At 35.5% G+C, this 23,724-nt stretch overlaps 1 pseudogene; it reads left to right on the top strand.

Moving 5' to 3' along the window:
* On the top strand, nucleotides 285–2,336 carry RBMXP1 (RBMX pseudogene 1; annotated as a pseudogene).

Below are 23,724 nucleotides of genomic sequence, written 5' to 3'. Positions count from 1 at the left end.
AAATAAATTTATGTGCAGACATGGAATAGGAATTCCAAACAGGGTAAGGACAGAGAAATAAAAAAAAAAAAAATTGAAGAAATAGAGGTTACTATATTCCCAAATTTAAATAAAGTTACAATGCTAACTCAACACCTAGAAAGATTTTAAAATGCCTATAAAAATAAAACAAAGCACATCAAAATAAAATTGCTAAAAACCTATGATAGAGAAAATATTAACAGTATCCAGAGAAAAAAGACAAATTATATAAGAAAAACAAGGATTAAAATGTATGCATATTGGTTGTGCAGTAGTGCTAGTGGCTTCGCAATTTGGTCCTCAGACCTGGCAGCCGCCACTGGTGCTGAGCTGGTAGGAAGCCCCTGTCGGTGAGCTCGTTGGAGCTTGAACCCATTGTCACCCCTCTGACTCACCAGCAAAAAAATAAATAAATAAATAAAAATAAATTTAAAAAAAATGGTTGAAGCAGATTGCCCAGAAAAGTTCTTCATTGGTGGGCTTAATATGGAAACTAATGAGAAAGCTCTTGAAGCACCATTTGGCAAATATGGACGAATAGTGAATAGTGGAAGTACTCTTGATGAAAGACTGTGAAACCAACAAATCAAGAGGATTTGCTTTTGTCACCTTTGAAAGCCCAGCAGACACTAAGGATGCAGCCAGAGACATGAATGGAAAGTCATTAAATGGAAAAGCCATCAAAGTGGAATAAGCCACCAAACAATTATTTGAAAGTGGTAGACGTGGACTGCCTCCACCTCCAAGAACTAGAGGTCCTTCAAGAAGTCTGAGAGGTGGAAGAGGAGGAAGTGGAGGAACCAGGGAACCTCCCTCATGGGGAGGACACATGGATGATGGTGGATATTCCATGCATTTTAACATGAGTTCTTCCAGGGAACCACTCCTAGTAAAAAGAGGACCACGACCAAGAAGTGGGGGTCATTCTCCTAAGAGATCTGCACCTCCTAAGAGATCTGCACCAGTTCACAGCAGCAGTGAATGGAAGGAAGAGCTCCTTTATCACGTGGAAAAGATAGTTAGGGAGGTCCACCTCGAAGGGAACTGCCGCCCTCTCGTAGAGATGTTTATTTGTCCCCAAGAGATGATGTGTAGTCTACTAAAGACAGCTCTTCAAGCAGAGATTACCCAAGTTCTTGTAATACAAGAGATTATGCACCACCACCACGAGATTATACTTACCGTGATTACAGTCATTCCAGTTCATGTGATGACTATCCATCAAGAGGCTATAGCGATAGAGATGGATATGATCATGATCATGACTATTCAGATCATCCAAGTGGAAGTTCCTACAGAGATTCATATGAGAGTTATGATAACTCACATAGTGCTCCACCTACACAAGGGCCCCCACCATTTTATGCTGGAAGCAGTCGCTATCATGATTACAGCAGCTCACGTGACGGATATGGTAGAAGTCGAGACAGTTACTCAAGCAGCCGAAGTGATCTCTATTCAAGTGGTCTTGATCGGCTTGGCAGACGAGAAAGAGGGCTTGCCCCTTCTACAGAAAGGGGGTACCCTTCTCCATGTGATTCCTACAGCAGTTCAAGCTGCAGAGCACCAAGAGGTGGTGGCCGTGGAGGAAGCCGATCTGATAGAGGGGGAGGCAGAAGCAGATACTAGAAGCAAACAAAACTTTGGACCAAAACCCCAGTTCAAAGAAACAAACGAAAAGTGAAACTATTCTGTCATAGCTACCGAAGGACTACTAAAAGGAAAAATTGTGTTACCTTTTTTAAATTCCCTGTTATGTTCCCCTCCATAATTTTTATGTTCTTGTGAGGAAAAAAGTAAAACATGTTTAATTTTATCTGACTTTATGACATTGCTTTTTAACAAGCAAATGTTAAATGTGTTAAGACTTGTTGTACTAGTGTTGTAACTTTCCAAGCAAAAGTGTTCCTAGAGGCCACTCCTATCTGATTTTTCCCAGTAAATGAGGCAAGCAATTCTAAGATCTTCCACAAAACGTCTAGCCATGTAAAATGGAGAGATGAATCATTCTGCCTATACAAACAAGCTAGCTATTAGAGGGTGGTTGGGGTTTGCTACTCAGAAGATTTCAGGGTGTCTTCCAGCTGAAATCTCAATGTTCACAGCATGAAAAACCTGAAATCAGAGGCCTATGCAAGGCAAGTGCTATTCACGCAGTAGATCCAAAAAAGCAAATGGATAATGCTGGCCATTTTGCTTTTCTGACATTTCCTTGGGAATCCCCAAGAACCTCCCCTTTCTCCTCCCCGAATAAGACCATTTAAGTGTGTGTCAAACAGCCACAGAATACTAAAAAAAAGTTTGGCCAAAACCAACCATGAAGCTGCAAAGGTGTCTGCTCTTACTGTTTCAAATTTTTGCAACTCTGTAATGTCTCACTTTTAAAGGAACAGCTTGATTGCAACGGAGAAAATAGATAAGCAATAAAGTTATCTCCAACTTCCTAAAGGCTTATGACTTCTAAAAAGTTAATCTATCAGCATTCCACATCAGATTTAAAGCATCAAATGCCTGTGAAACAGCAAAGATGGTTGAGGATTATGCTCATTATGGTCGTGGAGTGCTGATTTATTCACAGTAGATAAAGCTGGCAGTCAGATAAATCAAATGCTAAGAGTTTTTGAAGCAGAAGGTGGCTGATTGTCGATAAGTCACTACAGTTACATAAGAAGTGCTGTCAGAACTGGTTTGGTGCAATCAATAGATTTTGCCTTCAAGGGTTCCTGTGGACCTGAGGATGGCATCAGTGTTGATTAACATTCATAACTAGGGAGTGAGTAGTAGTTACTTAAAACAATAATTGACCAAATGGAAAAGGAGAAGTAATTAAGGAAATTGGTAAGTGGAGGTAGTCAGGAAGTTCTTGTGTTCCTTTACATAGATTTTATAGCTTTGGTTTTCATTTTGTTTAGATAAAGTCAAGGGACAACTCTTCAATTTAGAACTTAAGTTGAATCATAAAAATGATGAATAAGTGGTAGCTCTGTCTAGTGAAATGTCTATGTCTGTCAGTAAGTGAAACATTTTTTGGTGGTGGCTTATCCAGAAACAGAGTTTAGTTGTAGAATAAAACTTAGAGAGTGGTTGGGGTTTGCTACTCAGAAGATTTCAGGGTGTCTTCCAACTGAAATCTCAATGTTCTCAGCATAAAAAACCTGAAATCAGATGTCTATGTAAGGAAAGTGCTATTCACGCAGTAAATCCAAAAAAGCAAATGGATAATGCTGGCCATTTTGCTTTTCTGACATTTCCCTGGGAATCCACAAGAACCTCCCCTTTCCCCTCCCTGAATAAGACCATTTAAGTGTGTATTAAACATAGAAAGTAACAAACATGCTAAGATGGCAAGCACACTGGAAACAAGTAGTCCACTTTTGCTGATTGTTTTACAAGCTCACTTTACCTCCCAATCTTGGAAATAAGTTTTAGTTTATTGCTTTAGAGACTAGAGCCAATAGTATAATTTTCTCAAAGGAAATAGACTTGAGTTGTTGGATTACAGGAACTAACTCAACTTCTAAGATTTTTTTTTTGTCATAATTATGGCACTGTCATGTTTTACCATTTGCAACTAGGGATAGTAAGTACAACATTTTAAACTCTCGTTTGACAGACTACTACTAATCACAGACCTGTAATAGGTAATGACCAAATTTATGTGGTTGTTGCACTTCCATAGTTGTCTTAGCCCAATCCTTCCATACTCTTATGATTACTTGGGTTAAAGCTTCTGTGAGGACCTTTTTGGCTCTTGAGATATACTAGATATTTAAGATATTTAGATATCCTAAAGATAGCATAGGATATAGAGATTGTACAAATTGTGAATGAATATTAAGTTCAAAGCAAGGAGTATGTTAAAATGACCAGACACCTGTTTGATAAATAGTTTACTGACCTAGCAGACTTGTGGAAAAAGAATTAGATCTTGATTCTTCTGGGTTTATACTGGTTGTAAAACAGAATGATATAGAAAATGTTTTCCTTGTTTAACTGGTAGTTGAACATAGAACTTGGGTATTATAGATCACTTTTCACTTTTTGGAATGTTATGTATTGAAACTTAATAAAACTTTAACATGGCAAAAAAAAAGTATGCGTGTTGCCTATGGAAAATATACAACCAAAAAGTTAGTGGAATAACCTCTTAGAAGGTGTAGAAAATATTATTGCAACCTAAAATCTATATTCAGTATAAGTGCATATTTCAAATACAAACTCAAATAAACATCTCTGAATATAGCTAGCCCTATAAATATATAAGCAATTGAATTAGTAGTTTGTAAACTTTACCTCAAAGAACACACAGTCCCACATACATTCATAGTTATATTCTATAAATTGTTTAACAAATAAATACTATTCTTACACATTTTTTTTTTCAGAAAACAGAGGTCAACATTATCCTGATAACAAAAGTCAAAAAAGAAACTTCAAGGAAATAAAACTGGGACATAATATCTTCATAAAGATAGATACAAAGTTCTTAACAAAATATTAGCAAATGTTGTTAGCAGTAGGTGTCCAGGTTCTTGGCGTCTTGAACAAGGAATTGAACAAAACTCACAAACAAAGCGAGGAAAGCAAAAGCTGGGATTTATTGAAAATGAAAGTACGCTCCACAATGTGGGAGCCTGAGCATAGGGGCTCAAGAGCCCTGTTTACAGGATTTTCTGGAATTTCAATACTCTAGAGGTTTCCCATTGGTTACTTGGCATATATTCTATGTAAATGAAGAGAATGAGGTGAAGTCACAGAGTCATTTACTTGGGTTGTGCCCTGTTGTAAATGGAGAGGATATTATTTGGTGTGTGTGATCTAGGTAAATGGAAAGGATGAATGTGAAGTTACCAAGTGTAAATAGCATGAATGGAGAGGAGGAAGTGCAGTTACAAAGCCATTCACAGTCCTGTCATTGCCGAAGTGCTTTCATTTGATTTAGTTCTAGAAAGTCAGCATGGATTGGTCTTAAGTTCCCTGCCTCCAGGTCCTATTCTCCTGCCTCAATGTGATATATCATAGCCCAGTTAGTTTTATAGCAGAAATGCAAGGTTGGTTTGACTGTCAACCTATATAATTTACTACATTAATATACTTTTTAAAAAGCTATGATTATCACAAAAGATGCAGTAAGGGCTTTGAGAGCATGTAATACCCATTCAACTTGATAAAAGTCAAGTTGAAAAACTCTCAGCTAAAATCACACTTAATAGTAAAAGATTTAGTGTTCTTCCTTTAATATCAGTAATAAGGAAATGATTTCCACTCTTATTATAAATTCATTCAATAAGTCAAAACATAAAACATATGAACATTAGAATGGAAGAATTAAATCTGTCATTTACATATGACATATGCAGAAATGTGTATGTGCATATACATTGAGGAATCAAGACAAAGCTACTAGCTTTTGTGAGTAGGCTAGCAAATGCTGCAAAGTATCGGGTCTCCACACAAAAATCAGTTATATCTCTATATACTAACAATGAACAGAAATCGAATTGTAAAAAATATCAGTCATAATAGTACCAAAAACATGAAATGACTAGTGATAAACTTTAAAAAATATGTGCAAAGCAAACAAAGAATATTGCTGAGAGAAATCTCTATGCAATCTCAATCAACAGGATTACTTGTTGAAATTGACAAGCTTATTTTAAAATATACACTAATAGATAACAAATAAATAAGTAATTTTAATTTTTAAAGAAAATGTTAGAGGACTTACACTGCGTGGTTTCAGGATATAATATCAATACAGACATAATCAGGCCAATTTGTTGTTGTTATGAAGACAGACATATAAATCATTAGAATAGAATCAAAAGTCTAGTTAGCTAGGTACATAGATAAGACAGATAGATATTAATTTATCTTTCACAATGTTGCCAAGTCAATTTAATGAGAAAATTATACTGTTGAAATACTATGACTGGAACAATAGCATATTTTTATGGAGAAAAATAAAACTTTGTTCTTAATTCACATCATACAACAAACAAATCAAAATAGATTATAGACCTAAAATTAAGAGATACAAGTATTAAACTTTCAGAAGATCAAATATTTTTATGATTTTAGGTTGGTTAGCAAAAATATTTTATATAGAACATAAAAAAGTATGAATAACAAAAATATTCACATTTAGAATATATCAAAATGAAAAACTGCTGCTCTTTAAAACATACCCATAAACAAATAAGGCAAGTCATAGAGTAGAAGAAAATATTGGAAATGAATATATTTAACACAGAAATATAAGAAATTCATCTAGACTATATAAGGAACTCTTAAAATTCAATAGTAAGAAGAAAAAGAATCAATTTTAAGTTAGAAAAAAGATGTAAATATTTATTTGATTTAAGAAGATATACAAATGACCAATTAGCACCTGGAAAAATTGTCAGCATCATTAGTCATCAGGGAAATTAAAACTAAAATTATAATCGGATACCACTACAAATCCAATAGAATGGCTAAAATGCAAGACTAACAATACCAATATTGATAACTGGTTACTCACATACATTGCCTGTAAGAATATAAAATGACAACCTTTGAAAAATGCATTTTAGCAGTTTTATATAAATTTGAACAGATATCTACCATATGACCTAGCCATTCCATTTCTAGATATTTGCCCAAGAGAAATGAAAACATACACCCACACAGAGACTTGTACACAAATGTTTATAGCTTTTTTATTCCCCATAGCCAAAATCTGGGAACAGTCCAAATAGCCATGAACATGTGAATAGATAAACATGTTAGCATAACATACAATTGAATGCTAAGAAGCAATAAAAAGGAATGAACCGTTGATACAACTTCACAACATGGATGATCTCAAAAACATTATGTTGAAAAAGAAGTCAGGCACAGAAGAGTAGTTACTTTTGAGTCATTCATATGAAACTCAGGAAAGAATTCCAATCTTTATAGGCAGAAAGCAGATCTGTGACTGGGGCTAATGTGGGTGAAACAGGATTGACTGTGAAGAATCACAAGGAACTTTTTCAGGTGACGAAAATGTTCCATGTCTTGAGGTAATGATGGTAGTTACCTGTCTGTACACATTCTTCGAAACTCATCAAAATATACACTAAATTGGGATGCATTTTATTTTAAGTAAATTATCCCTTGATAAAGTGTATTGTATTGAAATACAACTTAATCTAAGTTTTATATCTTAGAGAAAATTTAGATTTCCAAAATAAGAAATATGATTCTATATATTTTCATAAGTCTGTGCATCAGTCTATACACCAAGCAGTATATAAAATTATTATACTTATTTATGTTTTAATAAATTAATTTAACATAGTGTAATAACATGATGTAATAGAGAAAACCTTATGCTAAGGATGAGAATCCCAAAGGCAGATTCCAGTTCTGCTTATTGCTGGATATGTGGTCTTCATCAAAGCTACTGACCCCCTCCATGTGTCACTTTTCATACTTAATAATGAATATTATAATACAAATCCAATACAGTGCAGTAATATTCAAATGACAAGATGATTTTGTCCTTTACCACAACTTTAAAGCATTATGTAAAGATAGCCTTTTTTCAATATTATCATCAACATTACTTTAAAAAGTAGACATTGGCTTTGTTACAACTTGTTCAGGGAGTCTATGTTTCCCACAATAAGAGAGAGCTGCTTTATGCTCTAATGTCATCCAGGATTCAGAGAATTTTTAACTTTAATATTAGATCATATTTACTTCAGTGAAAGAGGTGAAAGGCTATTGGAAAAAATAAAAATGGATGGCAGCTTAGCCATCAAAAAATACAATAAAGCTTGGGCATTGTGGCTCATGCCTATAATCCCAGCACTTAGGGAAGCTGAGGTGGGAGGATCGCTTGAGTATAGGAGAGTGAGACCAGCTGGGGCAACACAGTTAGATGTTATCTCTACAAAAAATTTAAAATAGTAGCTGCATGTGGTGGCATGCACCTGTAGTCCCAGCTGCTCAGGAAGCTGAGGTGAGAAGATTTCTTGAGCCCAGGAGTTCCAGGCTGCAGTGAGCCATGTTTATACCACTGCACTCAAGCCTGGGTGACAGAGTGAGACCCTGATTTAAAAAAATAATAATACAATATGTACCATCACATACTGGAAAAAGAATATATACCCTTTTGATTCTAGGTGAGATTTGTTTTCTATGAATATATCTTAGTTTGATATGTCTTATTGGAAGTAAAGTGTATATATTATTATTTATTTGTATGTCTATTTAAAACTAGTAACAAGGAGCTAGGCAAAGCTCAAATGAGGGCATCTTTTCCAAATTTTATAATTCTTTGCTCATTTATGCTTAAATATACATTGATTTTGCTATATGCTAAATTTTTAAATTTTTGTTCTGTATATGAGTGTATTTTGTATTAAAATGAATGACCAACTATAGCAAACCTACTGTAGAAAATAGTGAACTGTGATAATAAATACTTTCTACTCTCTTGTTGCAAAATAAACTGGATCACTTCTTTAGGATTAAGTAGCAAAATAAAATAAAACAAATTCTAACAGAAATACAATGAGTAGCAGAGAGACAAGGAAAAAATCTTAGTTTTATAGCTGTATTCAGTTGTAAAGAAGGTAAGACATATAGTACAGTAGAAGATTGAAAAGTCAAGGAGGAAAAGAATTATTTAACTAAATAAAATGGTTTGTGAAAAACTAACAAATGGAAGACCTCCACAAAAATTTGTAATGGTTTCCTGGCAATGTTATTGGCTAAATAATGGAGTAATGCCCCTGAGAAATTCTAAGTGCACTATTACTTAGGAAATGTAAAAACTTGTTTGGGCTAATTGTTAGACACAAAGAGATTGGACCTCAGATTGAACAAATTCCACAGTAAATGGAAAGAACTTGGCTTTCTGAAGGCTTTGTGAGGGCAATAGCTTTTTTCAGTCAGTGAATCTAAACCGCAAATTTGCTTGGTCAATAGATCAACATTTGCATCTGGGAAATCCATTATTTCCCTTCTATAAGGCCTCACTTTAATCCTACATTGTGATTTTACTAAAGAAAAGTGACTCCTTCACCTCCCCCAGAAAGTTAATATTTTCTTGTCTATTTAGCATTGTGAGTTAACTATTGTTGTGATTAATGCAGTTTCTTGATTTCAAGTTGTTCTCATTTGTTTGAATCCTGAAATAGCTTTAACGAATGGACTGTGACTATAAACAATTCCAATTAAAAAGCAATCACTTTTCAACTAGCTTTACAAGAATTGATTTTCTATTAAAATACTCAGGCCGTGTTTCAATCACAATGCAATAAAGTTCCCATTTTAAATTACAGCAAATGAGATTGAACCACTCTAAACTAAACACACACCTAATACTTCCTAATATTAAGACTCCAAATTTCCAAATTATAGGAGAAAGACCAGATCATTTTAATCCATGAAAGTTTAATTTGCTCCTTGACCTCTCATTCTTCTCCTACAGAGACTCTTCCTTATTTTATCCATTGAAGATATATTACACGTACAAGGCACTGTTTGAGGCAAGTCTTGGAGCAATAAAATAACATACCTGACCACCTCACAGAAAGATCTTACGACCACCATTTGAAGATTTTATAACAGAAGACTTAAACTGTATGTAGTAAACTGACATGAAAGTCAAAATTACATGCAGTGTCTAATTCATGTTGGCCTAAAGGATGGAACAGATCAGATGGTGTAGTGTTTTTTTTTTTTAATTTTAGGGAAAATAGGGATCAGTAGGAGGTAGGCTGCTCAAAGGGTGCTTTATAGGAGAGGTGAGACTTTATATTTCTATTCTATACATATCTTAAAATATCTTTGGCATGCCAGGGTATGAGCTATTCTTGGAAATGCAAAGATAAATAAATACATACCCTGAGTTTATAGACTAAGGACTGAAACATACCTACAAACAAATAACAACAATATTACTTCAACTGAAAACAGAGGAATGAGACAGAGAAGGCAGCTTAATGAATTGCTTGAGCAAAAGAAGAAAATGGAAATGGGAGATTGGCATTTTTTGAATAACTAGTGTCTGCTAGATACATCATTTTGTATATCATCAATTAAAAAACACTGCAAAGCATTATTATTATTATTATTCTCATTTTAGAGGTGAAGAAATTGAGATGCATAAAAATTTAAGTATTTTTCCCAAGATTAATGGTAGGATTAAGATTTGAATGCCAGCCTGCCAGCTTCAAAACCCTTCTTCTCAAAAAAGTAAGTGTCTAGGAACCTTCCAGTTATAATCCTGAATATAATTCTACAAGGGTATAAGACTGCACTAATTTATCACAGGTAACTGTCTAATATCATAAAGAAATAGACCTAAGATCTACTTCCTCAAAAATATTTAGGCTCTATATAGGCCTCTGCAAATTTTCTTTGCAAATGGGATGCAAATGGGGTACAAATGAGAGGAATTTATTTTATTATAAAACTAGCACCAAACTTTTGATACTGACTTTCTGCTTGGAAACTTCCAGCAAAGTTGATTTTGGGGAAAAGAGCAGGAAGCTTTGAACATGGAAATGCGGAAGCAATATTTCGTTCTAAAACCTAAAATTGAAACTTGGATATTATTCCAGTCGCTAATGCTGCATAACCATCCCCATAGTTTATTGACTTAAAACACCTGTTTTAGCTTTCTCATGATTTTGAAGGTCATAAATTTGGGAACGGCTTAGGTAGACAGTTTACCTCTTGCCAAACTGGCATTATCTGCAGAGACTGGACCCATAGGATATGCTTTCAAGGCGATCTCTTCACACGCATGTCTGGCATCTCTGCTCTTTGGCCTCCATTCTCTCTCTCAGATCCTTGGCCTCCATTCTCTCTCTCTGTCTTCCCCCCCCCCCACCCACAACATGGCATTTCAATCAATCTGGGCTGTTTATGTAAGTTAAATATCTCACATCATGGCCACGCTTCTTATATGGCATTGACTACTCTCAGAGTAAGAACTACAGAAGCAAACAGCCCAAGATACCCAGGGTAAGTTGCAGAGATTTCTATGACCTAATTTCAGAAGTAGCAAGACATCACTTTCCCAGATTCTATTAGCCAAATAAGTCATTCAGACCAGCCCAGATGTAAGGGGAAAGGAGAAATAGATGTCACCTCTTCATAGGGATTTGTGTATAGAGGGAAAAAGAAAATTGATGGTACCTATCTTAAAGACAAGCTTCTGCTGCCATGGAACAGTTCTATCGTAAATAACTATTGAGGCTTTTAATCAATCATCATCTAATGTACCCTAATTTTAAAGTGTTTTTATCACAGGTATGTAAATTAAGTAAGTAGAAAGCAGCACAAACTCCCCACTAGAAATTACGTGGGCCAAAATAAGCAAAGAATTCTATCAGCAGGTAGAGTGATCTGCCTAGAGCACCACTGTTTTTTCAAGGATGTGAAAAAGAAGTTTGAAAACATAGATTAGTTTGACTGGAAAGTGCATACAACTATTAATGAGCTTGATCCTGTGATATGAGGATCAAATATTTTGTCCAACATTTCCATCTTCATTTTGACTGGTGAAATACACTGGGTGTGATTTTCCTGCTGAAAAGGCTTAGTGAGGATTTGGTCATGTAGCCTGAGTCAATTCCAAAGATCAATAAGATCCCCACCCTCAAAGACATGAAAAGGAAAAAACAAACAAACAAACAAAAGCATTATCTGGTATCTGGTAATGATCTATCTGAATCATTCTGCAATGCGCAACAAACATCTCCACTCAAGACCAAGCCTGACTCTATCTCCAATAAATCTAAGCTGGTACCTGGCAGAGAGAATGACCATGTGGGAAATTCATAAAATAATGAGAGACTTTCCACCCAGACCCCAAGTCACCTACGTTGCTACACACTCACACACACACACATCACACCTTTGTTCTGATAGCTGTCTCTGTGACCAGGCAGCAAATGAGCTGGTGGTTTTCTTATTTTAACTCCTCTGAAGATTTTCACTTACATAAAATGGAAATGAGATACATCAAAGAAAAATTGTGATAGAAAAGTTAAACAGGCAAGGAAGACTTTATTCAAGACTATTGCAATAAGAGAGAGAGACTGAATTCAATTCCACTAACACAAAAAGGTATTAAGCACTGGAGTGAACTAGTAGAAAAGTACTGATGGGCATTAGGCGAGAGGTTGGCCATTTGATCAAGCCATCTATATTTGCTAATTGTTGCTTATGTAAGTTAAGTTCCTACTCTCCCACCAAAACTGGGAAATAGGAAACTCTCTCTTGATATTTACATTTCAAAGGAATGGCTCCCAGGTCCTTGAGAAAGATATTCCTGGGTTGTGAAACTGGTAAGATACTAGCACTGGAAGAAAATTAATATCTCAAAGGGACAATATCGGGGGAAATTCAGCCAGATATCAGGCAAAATTCACCCCCGATATTTCATGTAGTTTCTTTTCTATTTTCCCTAAGTGTGGGCCAGTATGAGAAATAAAGGGACAGAGTACAAAAGAGAGAAATTTTAAAGCTGAGTGTCCAGGGGAGACATCACATCGGCAGGGTCCGTCATGCCCCACAAGCTGCAAAACCAGCAAGTTTTTATTAGTGATTTTCAAAAGGGGAGGAGGTGTACGAATAGGGTATGGGTCACAGAGATCACATGCTTCACAAGGTAATAAGATATCACAAGGTAAATGTAGGCAGGGCGAGATCACAGGACCACAGGACGGGGGCGAAATTAAAATTGCTAATGAAGTTTCGGGCACGCATTGTCATTGATAACATCTTATCAGGAGACAAGGTTTGAGAGCAGACAAATGGTCTGACCAAAATTTATTAGGTGGGAATTTCCTTGTCCTAATAAGCCTGGGAGCGCTACGGGAGACTGGGGCTTATTTCATCCCTACAGCTGTGACTGTAAAAGACAGCCACCCCCAAAGCAGCCATTTCAGAGGCCTACCCTCAGGGATGCATTCTCTTTCTCAGGGATGTTCCTTGCTGAGAAAAAGAATTCAGTGATATTTCTCCCATTTGCTTTTCAAAGAAGAGAAATATGGCTCTGTTCCACCCAGCTCACAGGCAGTCAGAGTTTAAGGTTATCTCTCTTGTTCCCTGAACATTGCTGCTATCCTGTTCTTTTTTCAAGTTGCCCAGATTTCATATTGTTCAAATACACATGCTCTACAAACAATTTGTATAGTTAACACAATCATCACAGGGTCCTGGGGGGACATACATCCTCCTCAGCTTACAAAGATGACGGGATTAAGAGATTAAAGACAGGCATAGGAAATCACGAGGGTATTGATTGGGGAAGTGATAAGTGTCCATGAAATCTTCACAATTTATGTTCAGAGATTGCAGTAAAGACAGGCCTAAGAAACTATAAAAGTATTAATTTGGGGAACTAATAAATGTCCATGAAATCTTCACAATTTTATGTTCTTCTGCCATGGCTTCAGCCGGTCCCTCTGTTCAGGGTCCCTGACTTCCCGCAACAGGACAGACAAAGAATTTACAACAGGACATTTTATAAAGTAAATGCTCTAAGAAAAGGGAGGTCAACACCTATAGTCTGGGAAAAACCTGTCTTAAGTTTTTTCAAGCTGAGGAGAATGTCAAAACCTTCTTGGTCAAATACATTTAATATACCAAAGCTAGTATATATTATCTAAGGAGTCTTACCTCAAAAGGGATTCTAGGTAACTCACATGAAAACTCCAGCCAACCCTGTCTCTACAAAACAAAAAAGTACAAGCTAAAAGATGAACTCTGAGCCATAGCAAGGACTTTAAACTGCCTAATGGACTGGGAAACATCCTTCAGCTTCAATTTCTCCCTCCAGCCAAGTTGGAATAGAAAGTAATTGTTATGATGATGTCCTGCACAGAAGAAAACCCAATCTCTACCCAGCTTTATCCAAGCTTAAAAGAAAGCCCCAAAGCATTAATTTTGCAATACGTAGAGAGTACTAGATTCAGCAATCTTATATGCTTTGTTAAAACTAATTTGCAGCCTTAAAATTACATTTTATATAGGCCATGCCCCTTCAGGCATTTCAGTTGTACCTAAAATTCTATGAAATAGAATCCCCTCACAGAGGAGCTGTCAGTGTCACAAGCCTAAGAATGTTTGCCCTTGAGATTAACACTGTGGTTCTGAAAAATGCTGTCTATGTGTTTTACCATTTCTGAAATACTCTGCTTGTAAATCACACAGAGCATTTGCTGACATTTTCTAGGAGGCAGAAATTTACCGCTAGGCTTCTGGCATAGGACATAGAAAAATAATAGGAGACAAAAAACAGGCACTTGCGATCTGAAATTTATCCATAAAACTAAATTCAAAAGATAAATAAACTTGCATATGCTATATATTGTATGCCCCAGTCATAAGACAGCATTTTAGGATACTTCAGAAAAATTATAAGCTTTTTGCCCCAAATCCTTTCTGATGTTTTAGTTTCTATAATTAAGCATTGATAGATTTTACTTGAGGCTCTGCTATCAGTAAAAATTCAAACATCTCAAGGAAAAGTTAGAGTAGACAATGATGATACACTGGCCCTTCAGTACCCTGATAGTTCAGAATGTAGATAATGAAGTTTGAGGAAGAGAGTCCCCAACTAACTCATGGTGGATGTCTGAGTTGCTAAAACAATAGTGCTTGCAACTATTGTTGTTTATTATGCCAGCATAACATAGCCTACATAAACATTAATTTTTTAAAAATATTAGAAAAAATAACAAGCAAATTGGACCTAAAGAAAGTCAAAGAAATGGAAACAAATATAAAAGTGTAAATACTGTAATAAAAAACAAAAATCTACAGATTTATATATAAATAACCAAAGCTCGATTCTCAGAAAACACTGATAATGTTTTATCAATGAAATTGATAAAACTTTGGTGAGACTGATTAAAAGAGGGTAATGAAATAACTAATACATGGAATGAAAAAGGGAATAACACAGTAAGCTCCAAACATTAAAAAGACAATATGATAATCATACATATATGAAGGTTTGCTTTATGTATGTCTAACTCATCTGTCTGAAGTTTGGTCAGGCTGAGGGCAATGTCAAAGCTGTCTTGGTCAGGTATACAACCAAAGCTGGAATATGTTATCTAGGCAGCTACACTACAAAACGGATACTAAGTAACTCATAGAATATATAAACAAAGAGAAGAATCTTACTACAGAAAGGACTTTAAACTCCCTAAGGGACTGAAACACATCTTTCAGCTTCAATTTCTCCCTCCAGCCAAATTGGAATAAAAAGTAATTGTATTATTAAGTAACACTAAAGAATGGTGGAGAAAGGAAAGTCTCTTCAATAAATGGTGCTAGGTCAACTGGATATTATAGATTGCAAAAACCATTACAAATAATTTCCTTTTATCAAGAAGCAAAGTCTCCCCTCTGCCCTTTGAATCTGGGTTGGCTATGTCGCCTCACTTGGTCAGAGGGAAATGGGAAACATGATGATGTCAACACAGACTGAAAAGTGCTGGTACACTCTGGCTTGCTCTTTTGTTTGTTGTTGACCTTGAGAATTCCACATCCACCACCATGAAAACAAGCCTGACCTATCCTCCTGAATAACAAAAGCCAAATGAGCCAGCCAGCTAACCAACAGACATATGGACAGACTCTTGGTAACTGTATTAGTCAGGGTTCTCTAGAGGGACAGAACTAATAGGATATATACAGGATACGTATATATATATATATATATATATATATATATATATATATGATATAGATAAGATGTGTATATATAGGATATATATATATAAGATAGGATATATAGGGGGTTATCATATATTATATATAATAGGATATATATATCATATTTTATATATAATATTATATATATTTTATATAATTGTATATATAATATATATGTAATTGTATTATTAAGTAACACTAAAGAATAATATAATATATATAAAATATGATAAATATATGATATATATCCTATTATATATATTATATATAATAACCCCATATATATCCTATTATATATATATCCTATATATACACACATCTTATCTATATCCTATAGATATATATGTATCCTGTATATATCCTATTAGTTCTGTCCCTCTAGAAAACCTCTAGAGAAGAGATATATCCTATTATATATATATAATATATATAATATATAATAACCCCATATATATCCTATTATATATATATATCCTATATATATACACATCTTATATATATCCTATAGATATATATACATACATATCCTGTATATATCCTATTAGTTCTGTGATTGAGTCCAGCAGATTACAGATTACCCAGGTGAATTGACAACCCACAGAGTCATAGTGGGTTAGCCAGGTATGATGGCAGGTGCCTGTAGTCTCAGTTACTTGGGAGGCTGAGGCACAAGAATTGCTTGAACTCAGGAAACAAAGGTTGCAGTGAGCCAAGATCCTACCAGTGCACTCAATAAAATAAAATAAAATAATATAAAATAAAATAAAAATTAATAAAAGCTTAAGTTTTGAGGTGTTTTGTTATGCAGTGAAAGCTAATTGATAGAGAGATTTATATTTTAAAAAAGAACATTGACCACCTTGAAGCATCATCCTTAAAAACAATAAAGCTTCTAGGATAAAACCTAGGAGAATATATCAGTAGGATAGGGAATTCTCAAAGACAGCATAAAACATAAACAATATAGAAAAAAATTGATAAATTGGACTTCATTATAAGTAAGAATGCTCTTACTCAAAAGACAAAATTAAGGAATTGAAAATGTAAGGGGCAGAGTGGGAGAATAAATTTACGACTCCTTTAGTCAATATATGGCTCACAAGTAGACTACGTACAGAACTACATATCAATTAAAAAAAAGAGAGATAACCTTAAAAATGGAGAAAATATTTCAATCCTTCACAAAAGATGACAACTTAAGGTCAATATGCTCATCATAATTTGTAATCAGTGAAATTAAAATTTAAAATGCTCTGAGAGATATGAGACATGTAGGTGAAAGGAATTTTCTAGACAAACAACTCTTGCAAAACTTCCAGAAAAGCTGAAAAAATGAAAACGTAAATTGCATGTGTGAAGCCATCAAAAAGCTGTTGAAGCCACCAAAACCAGAAGGTCTAACATATGCAGACAAGAATAACCTAAGAGAAGCAAGCTTTCAGCTCGTTTTCACTGGGAGCACACACCAGTTCTGAGTTCAGGGAAAGAGGTGAAAAAATCCATTTTTAGCTTTTTTTCTTCCTATGTTGTATTAATTATTGGTGATGAATGATTTATTTTACATATATTGAAGGGAGGATGTTGACATAAAATAGACAGTGTACCTCTGCCGACTTGACATGATTCTAGACTAATTGGTTAATAATATGGCATTATGTTAAAACAAAAATGCATAAGGGACATTGGTAAAGCCCATAATATCAAGACATCTGCGCCTTTAATCCTTGTCTAATATTTGATTGATACCTGCTATGTTATGATTTCATATGACAGGACGTACTCAGGAAATAGAGCTTTTCTTTGTAACAACGAGTATATCTCTTTTGTGAGCTGTTAAAGCCTTCTTCTCTCAACTCTAACCACAGCATCTGAACAAAGTTATTTTGTACAGTCTTCTCCATAAACTCCTTTTTGACCCATTTTGACATCTCAAGAGAGATCAAATCTGTACCTGCCCAGAAAGCTAGGCGATATGTTTGGAATACAGATTTCATCCAGCAGCACAAACATAGAACAGAAAAACGGATTATCAACTAATAGTTTTGAGAGTTGATCATTTCCTCTATGAAAGCTCTTGGAAAAGATTTTGAGAACTCGTGAAAGGGTATTTTTGTAATGAAATCTACCTGTTCCCCAGCCTGTGTTAAAGAAGTTATAAGGAACTTTTAAATGTTGAAGTAGCCGAGGTAGATAGAATGAAAAAAAAGTATGGATGACATGCAAGGCCATTCTTAAATTCTTATATACTTTTTTTTTTTTTTGGAGACGGATTCTCTGTCTGTCGCCCAGGCTCCAGCGCAGTAGCGGGATCTTGGCTCACTGCAAGCTCCGCCTCCCGGGTTCACGCCATTCTCCTGACTCAGCCTCCTGAGTAGCTGGGACTACAGGCGCCCACCACCACACCCGGCTAATTTTTTTGTATTTTTAGTAGAGATGGGGTTTCACCGTGTTAGCCAGGATGGTTTCGATTTACTGACCTCGTGATCCGCCCGCCTCATCCTCCCAAAGTGCTGGGATTACAGGCGTGAGCCACCGTGCCCGGCCAATTCTTATACACTTTTAGTATCTCTTATTTATAAAGCACACTTCACTTATAAAACATGTCATGTGTGTTGTCTCATTTAATCTTCCTGTGTTTTCATCTGCTACAAGCAATTTTAGCATATCCATTTGAAACTCCAGTCTTGTGAATATTACCTCCATAAGAAGCAAACATAGGATTTTGTGAAAGAAACTAGCCTTACTTCATGACTGGTATTGATGGATTTGAAGGAAATTTCTCAACCTCTTTATAATGACCATCCATTTTATGTCATATTTTCAGAACAAAAAAAAATGTGGTAGGAAATTACCTGACAGCAAAGATTTTTAGAAATTACAGTTGAGTTTGATGAGAACTTGTTGGTTGGTCACTGAACTGGATTACATTCTAGGTGCACATGGACTCTAGAAATCTAAGCTGGAACTACATAGAGGTATTTAGGGGCATGTATATCTCTAGCTTCTTTTCACATAACAGACCAATTGGGATATCTTCACAGTTTGTCATTTTGTCAAATGATAAAACATTGGGGACTATTAAATGATTTTACTAATTTTAAAGTTTAATAGGTATTTACATTCAGACATCTGATAGACAAGTGAAAATGGAGAAGAAAATCTCCAGGAAAGTTAATTATAAGCATACAGAATACAGAGAATTACCAAAATGCAAGGAATAGAAAGTTCCCGGAAATTGTCTAATTTTTTTCAAATAATCTGTAACTATTTCTACCACAAAGTAAAGACTCCTAGGAAGGTAATTCCAAATTCCATCTTATAGAAAATTTAGTGTCTACTTATTTACAATCAGCATTTAGTATCTACTTATTGTTTTACACTGTGCAAAGTATTGTGAAAACAAAAACAAGCAAAATCAAACAAAAAAACAACCTTCATATAAAATTCTGGATACTGTGGTCTAAAATAGAAATAGACAAATTTCAATATTCAAGGAAATGGAAGTAGAAAAAAATTCATGTTTGTATTTTTGGAGAATCAGTTTGGCAAAGTGAACATGGACCTGGAGAAAAGAAAAACTCAGCATTGGAAATTACTTTCTGAATGTATTTCAGAGATTTTTCTGAAGATGAAATTTTGTATTACTCTTGAAGTCTTACAGGGATAGGATTGCAGTTGTTGAGCACTCTTGACAGATTTTTTAGCCCCATATTAAGAAGAAATTTCTTAAAGAGTTCACTAAATGCCAAATGAGCTGCCTCAACAAATAGTGAGTTCCCCATTAGTAGATATGTTTATGTATAAGCATGACAAGCATTTGGCAGGGCTGACTTTTCAGATTCTTTTTTTTTTTTTTTTTGAGACAGAGTCTCGCTCTGTCGCCCAGGCTGGAGCGTAGTGTGCAATCTCGACTCGCTGCAAGCTCCGCCTCCCGGGTTCACGCCATTCTCCTGCCTCAGCCTCCCAAGTAGCTTGGACTACAGGCGCCCGCCACTAGGCCCGGCTAATTTTTTTGTATTTTTAGTAGAGACGGGGTTTCACCGTGTTAGCCAAGATGGTCTCGATCTCCTGACCTCGTGATCCGCCCGCCTCGGCCTCCCAAAGTGCTGGGATTACAGGCGTGAGCCACCACGGCCGGCCCCAGATTCTTTATAAGACTTGAGAGTTCATCTTGTAAATGAACCAACTTTGGTGGGTTCTCTTTCATTTCTGAAGTTAACAAGTCAGTTGAGTAGAAAAAATTAAAAATAGCAAAACTAAAGAAAAATGTACTCGTAATTAACCAAGGGACACTGTAGAAAGGAAGATTCTGACAATAAAGCCCTAAGCTGAGTAGGGTCGGGGTGCCGTGCTAGCCAGTTGTACCTTCTTTGTAATCAGTAAAAGGAAAGTAGGTCTGTGATGAAACTACGCTATGAAGAGAACAGGGCTGAAGCAATGAACTTACACCTATTGGATAAGGTGGGGTATGTGAAAACAGTGAGGGTGGGAATAGCAAGAATTATTAGAGGAAGTGAAACAATGTGGCCTCAAGGAATGGGCAAAATCAGGTCAAGAGGAAGAAAAGGTATTTTAGGCAAAAATTTAATTCTAAAAAAGGATTCTTCCTTTGCATGAATTTTCGTCACTTTGCTGTAATACTGAAAGCATGCTTCTGCTTCTTGATGTTTTGATATTGTGGTGTTGGCATGCATCAAGGGCAATCACAGTGTTGATGAAATACGCTGAGCCTGGGCCAAAATTCAGGCTCACACAGCCCACTGATTCTGTATTAGGAAAAATCCTTGTGCAGTGGAGGCAGTGTGTTAATAATTACACAGGTTGGGTAAATTGCTTAGATAAATGTAGAGCAGTGTCAGATATTCCTATGGGGACCACCTGATTTGTACCCCGCTGGAAGTCATATGTCCTTTCTTCAGTGTTTGAGAATATGACAAGCCCCAGTGAATAGAAACAAAGAGACAGAGTCCTGAGTAAACACACATATTAATGTCAGAAAGATTCGGAAGCATCAATTCAGGATGTAGAAGGATGGTCCTCAAACAAGATTCAAATATAAACTGCCACAGTTTGGGTCAGTGAATATTTCTAGGGAAATCTAGCAGTTCATCTGAAACCAAAATTCAATCATACTGCAGTCCAATAACATTGTACAGTCAGTTCTGTTACAATACTTGTGTTGAAAATCTGAAGTTGTTCCAATGTGACTGATATATTAAGAAAAAATTAGAGGACAAGCCAGATTTTTTATACACTTATGCCAGACTTTTTATTCATGAGAAATACCAAGAGAATGCAAAAAACTGCACCCAACTCAGCTGAACTATGCAGAATATACAAGATGCACTCACCTCAAACATCTACCAGCCACCTCAGCACACCGCCTGTGTTTTAAATTCTGAGCTGCACTCATTACTATCTGGTGGTACAGTGTTCCACACCATTTCAGTCAACCTTCCTTCCATCACTTCACAGTAACTCAAAAGCTGCAACTTTTTTGATGCCCACTTCCACAAGGGAATTTAAGTCTTTTTCGAGAAATATTGCATTATTTATTTATTTCTTAACCATTTAATATGTGCAAAACTGTGCTACTATTTTAGTTAGGTTCTTATCTTTTTGTCTAATGTGTTACTAACAAAATTTTCAGTGTTGTGCTCCTAGCCCCCTTTTCTCATAAGCCCTATGGTTTTTCTTGTGTTAGTTTGTATAATGTGATTTTTAGCAACATATGCATCATCTTAGAGCAGAACTTACCATACTATGAAATTTTTGTCTGGAGGTGGAGATGTCATTATGTAGAACAGATGAATAATCCATAAACAGGTATCTCAGACGTCACTGATCCAAGCTTGCTACAGATATCTGATTGCCACCTTGTAGTGAACAAAAAGAATACTCGGAAAACAAAAAGCATCTGTGAAAAGAGGGAAGGAAAAGAGGAAGGAAGAAAGGAAGGAAGATAAAGAAACATATCGATCATAATTGCTCCCATGGCAATCCATACTGTGCTGTTAGGTAACTGTCCTTTTTGAATAAAGTTTGTTCTCATCCACCATTCCACCTCCACCATGTATCACCCATCAAAATCAGTCTCTTTCAGTGATAAATACACTACATGAGCTCATCTGTCCACTTCTCCCCACCGCAGTCTGATCTCAGAAGAGCTGCTTAAGGTGGCTTTTGGATACAAAGAAATAGTAAGTAGCCTAAAATATCAAAGCTAAGGCTATCAACTAGTATAGATCCACCTTTCTTTACATCAGGCCTTGGGGGAACTTTATCAGATTACACCATATAGGTACTTCCTATAGTTGAGCCTCTGATTCATTCAGAAAATCTCTCAGCATCTCAGTTACTCTTCCAGATACAGTAAATCTTCATCACTTGTGGACTCTATATTAGTGAATTAATCTACTAGCTAAAATTTCTTTTAACCCCCAAATCAATACTTAAAATGATTTCAGAGTCATTTGCAGAAATGTGTAAAGTGTTAAACAAATTGAGTTGCTGAAAAGGGTGTGTTCCCAGCTGAGGTCACACAACGTGATGCTCTGTCTTCTCTGTTCCAGCTCATACTGTAAACATGTCCTTTTTGTAATCTATGTAATGCCATTTTTTTTTTACTTTTATACTTTTTTTTTTTGGTAATTTCATGGTTTAAAATGTTCCTGTGAATGTAGTGCTGAAGTGCTGCCTAATGTTCTTCAGTGCAAGAAGGCTGTGACGTACCTTACAGTTTAATGTGTGTTAGATAAGCTTTGTTCAGGCATGAGTTATAGTGCTATTTGCTGTGAGCTCAATGTTTATGAATCCAATATATATATTACATAAGATATCCTTAAAGAGAAACATACATAAAACAAGGTTATGTATTTATTCATTGACAAAAATGTGACCAGAGACTCAAAGGAGCTTAACCTCTTGGAGGAATGATTCAGTATTCACTAATTCAGTGTTCTCAGTGACTTAATAGAAAGTAACTACTGTGAATAAGAAGAACCAACTGCACTGAAGATTAGTGTTATAATTGCCCTTTATATGTCAATATTTTTGCATTTCCCTCTCTTTTCTAGAGATTAGTCACAGAATCCACATCGAACTACGTATGACTTATTTACTCAGATGCTGCAGAAAGAGAGTAATATTGGGTTGTGATTATGTTGATAAATCTGACAACGACCAAAATGGACAATTCAGGGACCCCTGTGTTGATTCCTCTGCTTTTAAGACCTGGGTGTTGACCTACCTGCTTGGATTGTTTTTGATTCTTGTACTAAATAGATTGGTAGAAATTGTGGAAGCTTGCTTTCCTTAGATTTCATAATAAATGTAGTCATTTGGAATGCAAATAAAAACGTAACCAAAAGTGTAAAAATGTTTTTTGACATACAAATATGTTAATAGGGTATGACAAGGTTAAGTAATTGAGAGAGAAATTACTTACTGTTCTTTCTTTATTCTTTCCTTTCCCTTCATTCCTTCTTCATTTTGAAAATCAAGATTCCATGCCAATAAAGAGCACTGTGTATCAGAACTAAAATATTTTCTGCATTTTGGAACTTTAGACATCAACTTTTTAACATACACTGAAAAGTCATAGCAAGGAGTATACAATACAAATTGTTATTGAATTAGTCCTGTGGACATCCCCACCAACACATATCATAGACCTTTGAGTAATACTATCTGGGGAGAACAACGATTACAAGCAATATTTGTATAACTAAATGTTTACAGTGTGAAGAATATGCTCATAATAATTAAGTCAAAAATTATCTTCTTAATTATTTAGCTTATCTTTACAAACACACACATACTCAATACATTATTATATATCTATAATAGTAAGTTTTAATTCTAAAAACTGTCAAGTACATCAGATTAGGTCTAAATTATCTGCACTTATGCATAAGAAAATTAATGTTTCATTTATAAAGTCATTTGCCACAGTAAATGAGATTAGGTCACAACAGAACTGGATTT

This window comes from Homo sapiens, chromosome 6 (genome assembly GCF_000001405.40).
Source record: "Homo sapiens chromosome 6, GRCh38.p14 Primary Assembly".
NCBI classification, from domain to species: Eukaryota; Metazoa; Chordata; class Mammalia; order Primates; family Hominidae; genus Homo; species Homo sapiens.
Note: the sequence above shows the minus strand (reverse complement) of the source record. Positions and strands in the feature narration are given on the sequence as shown.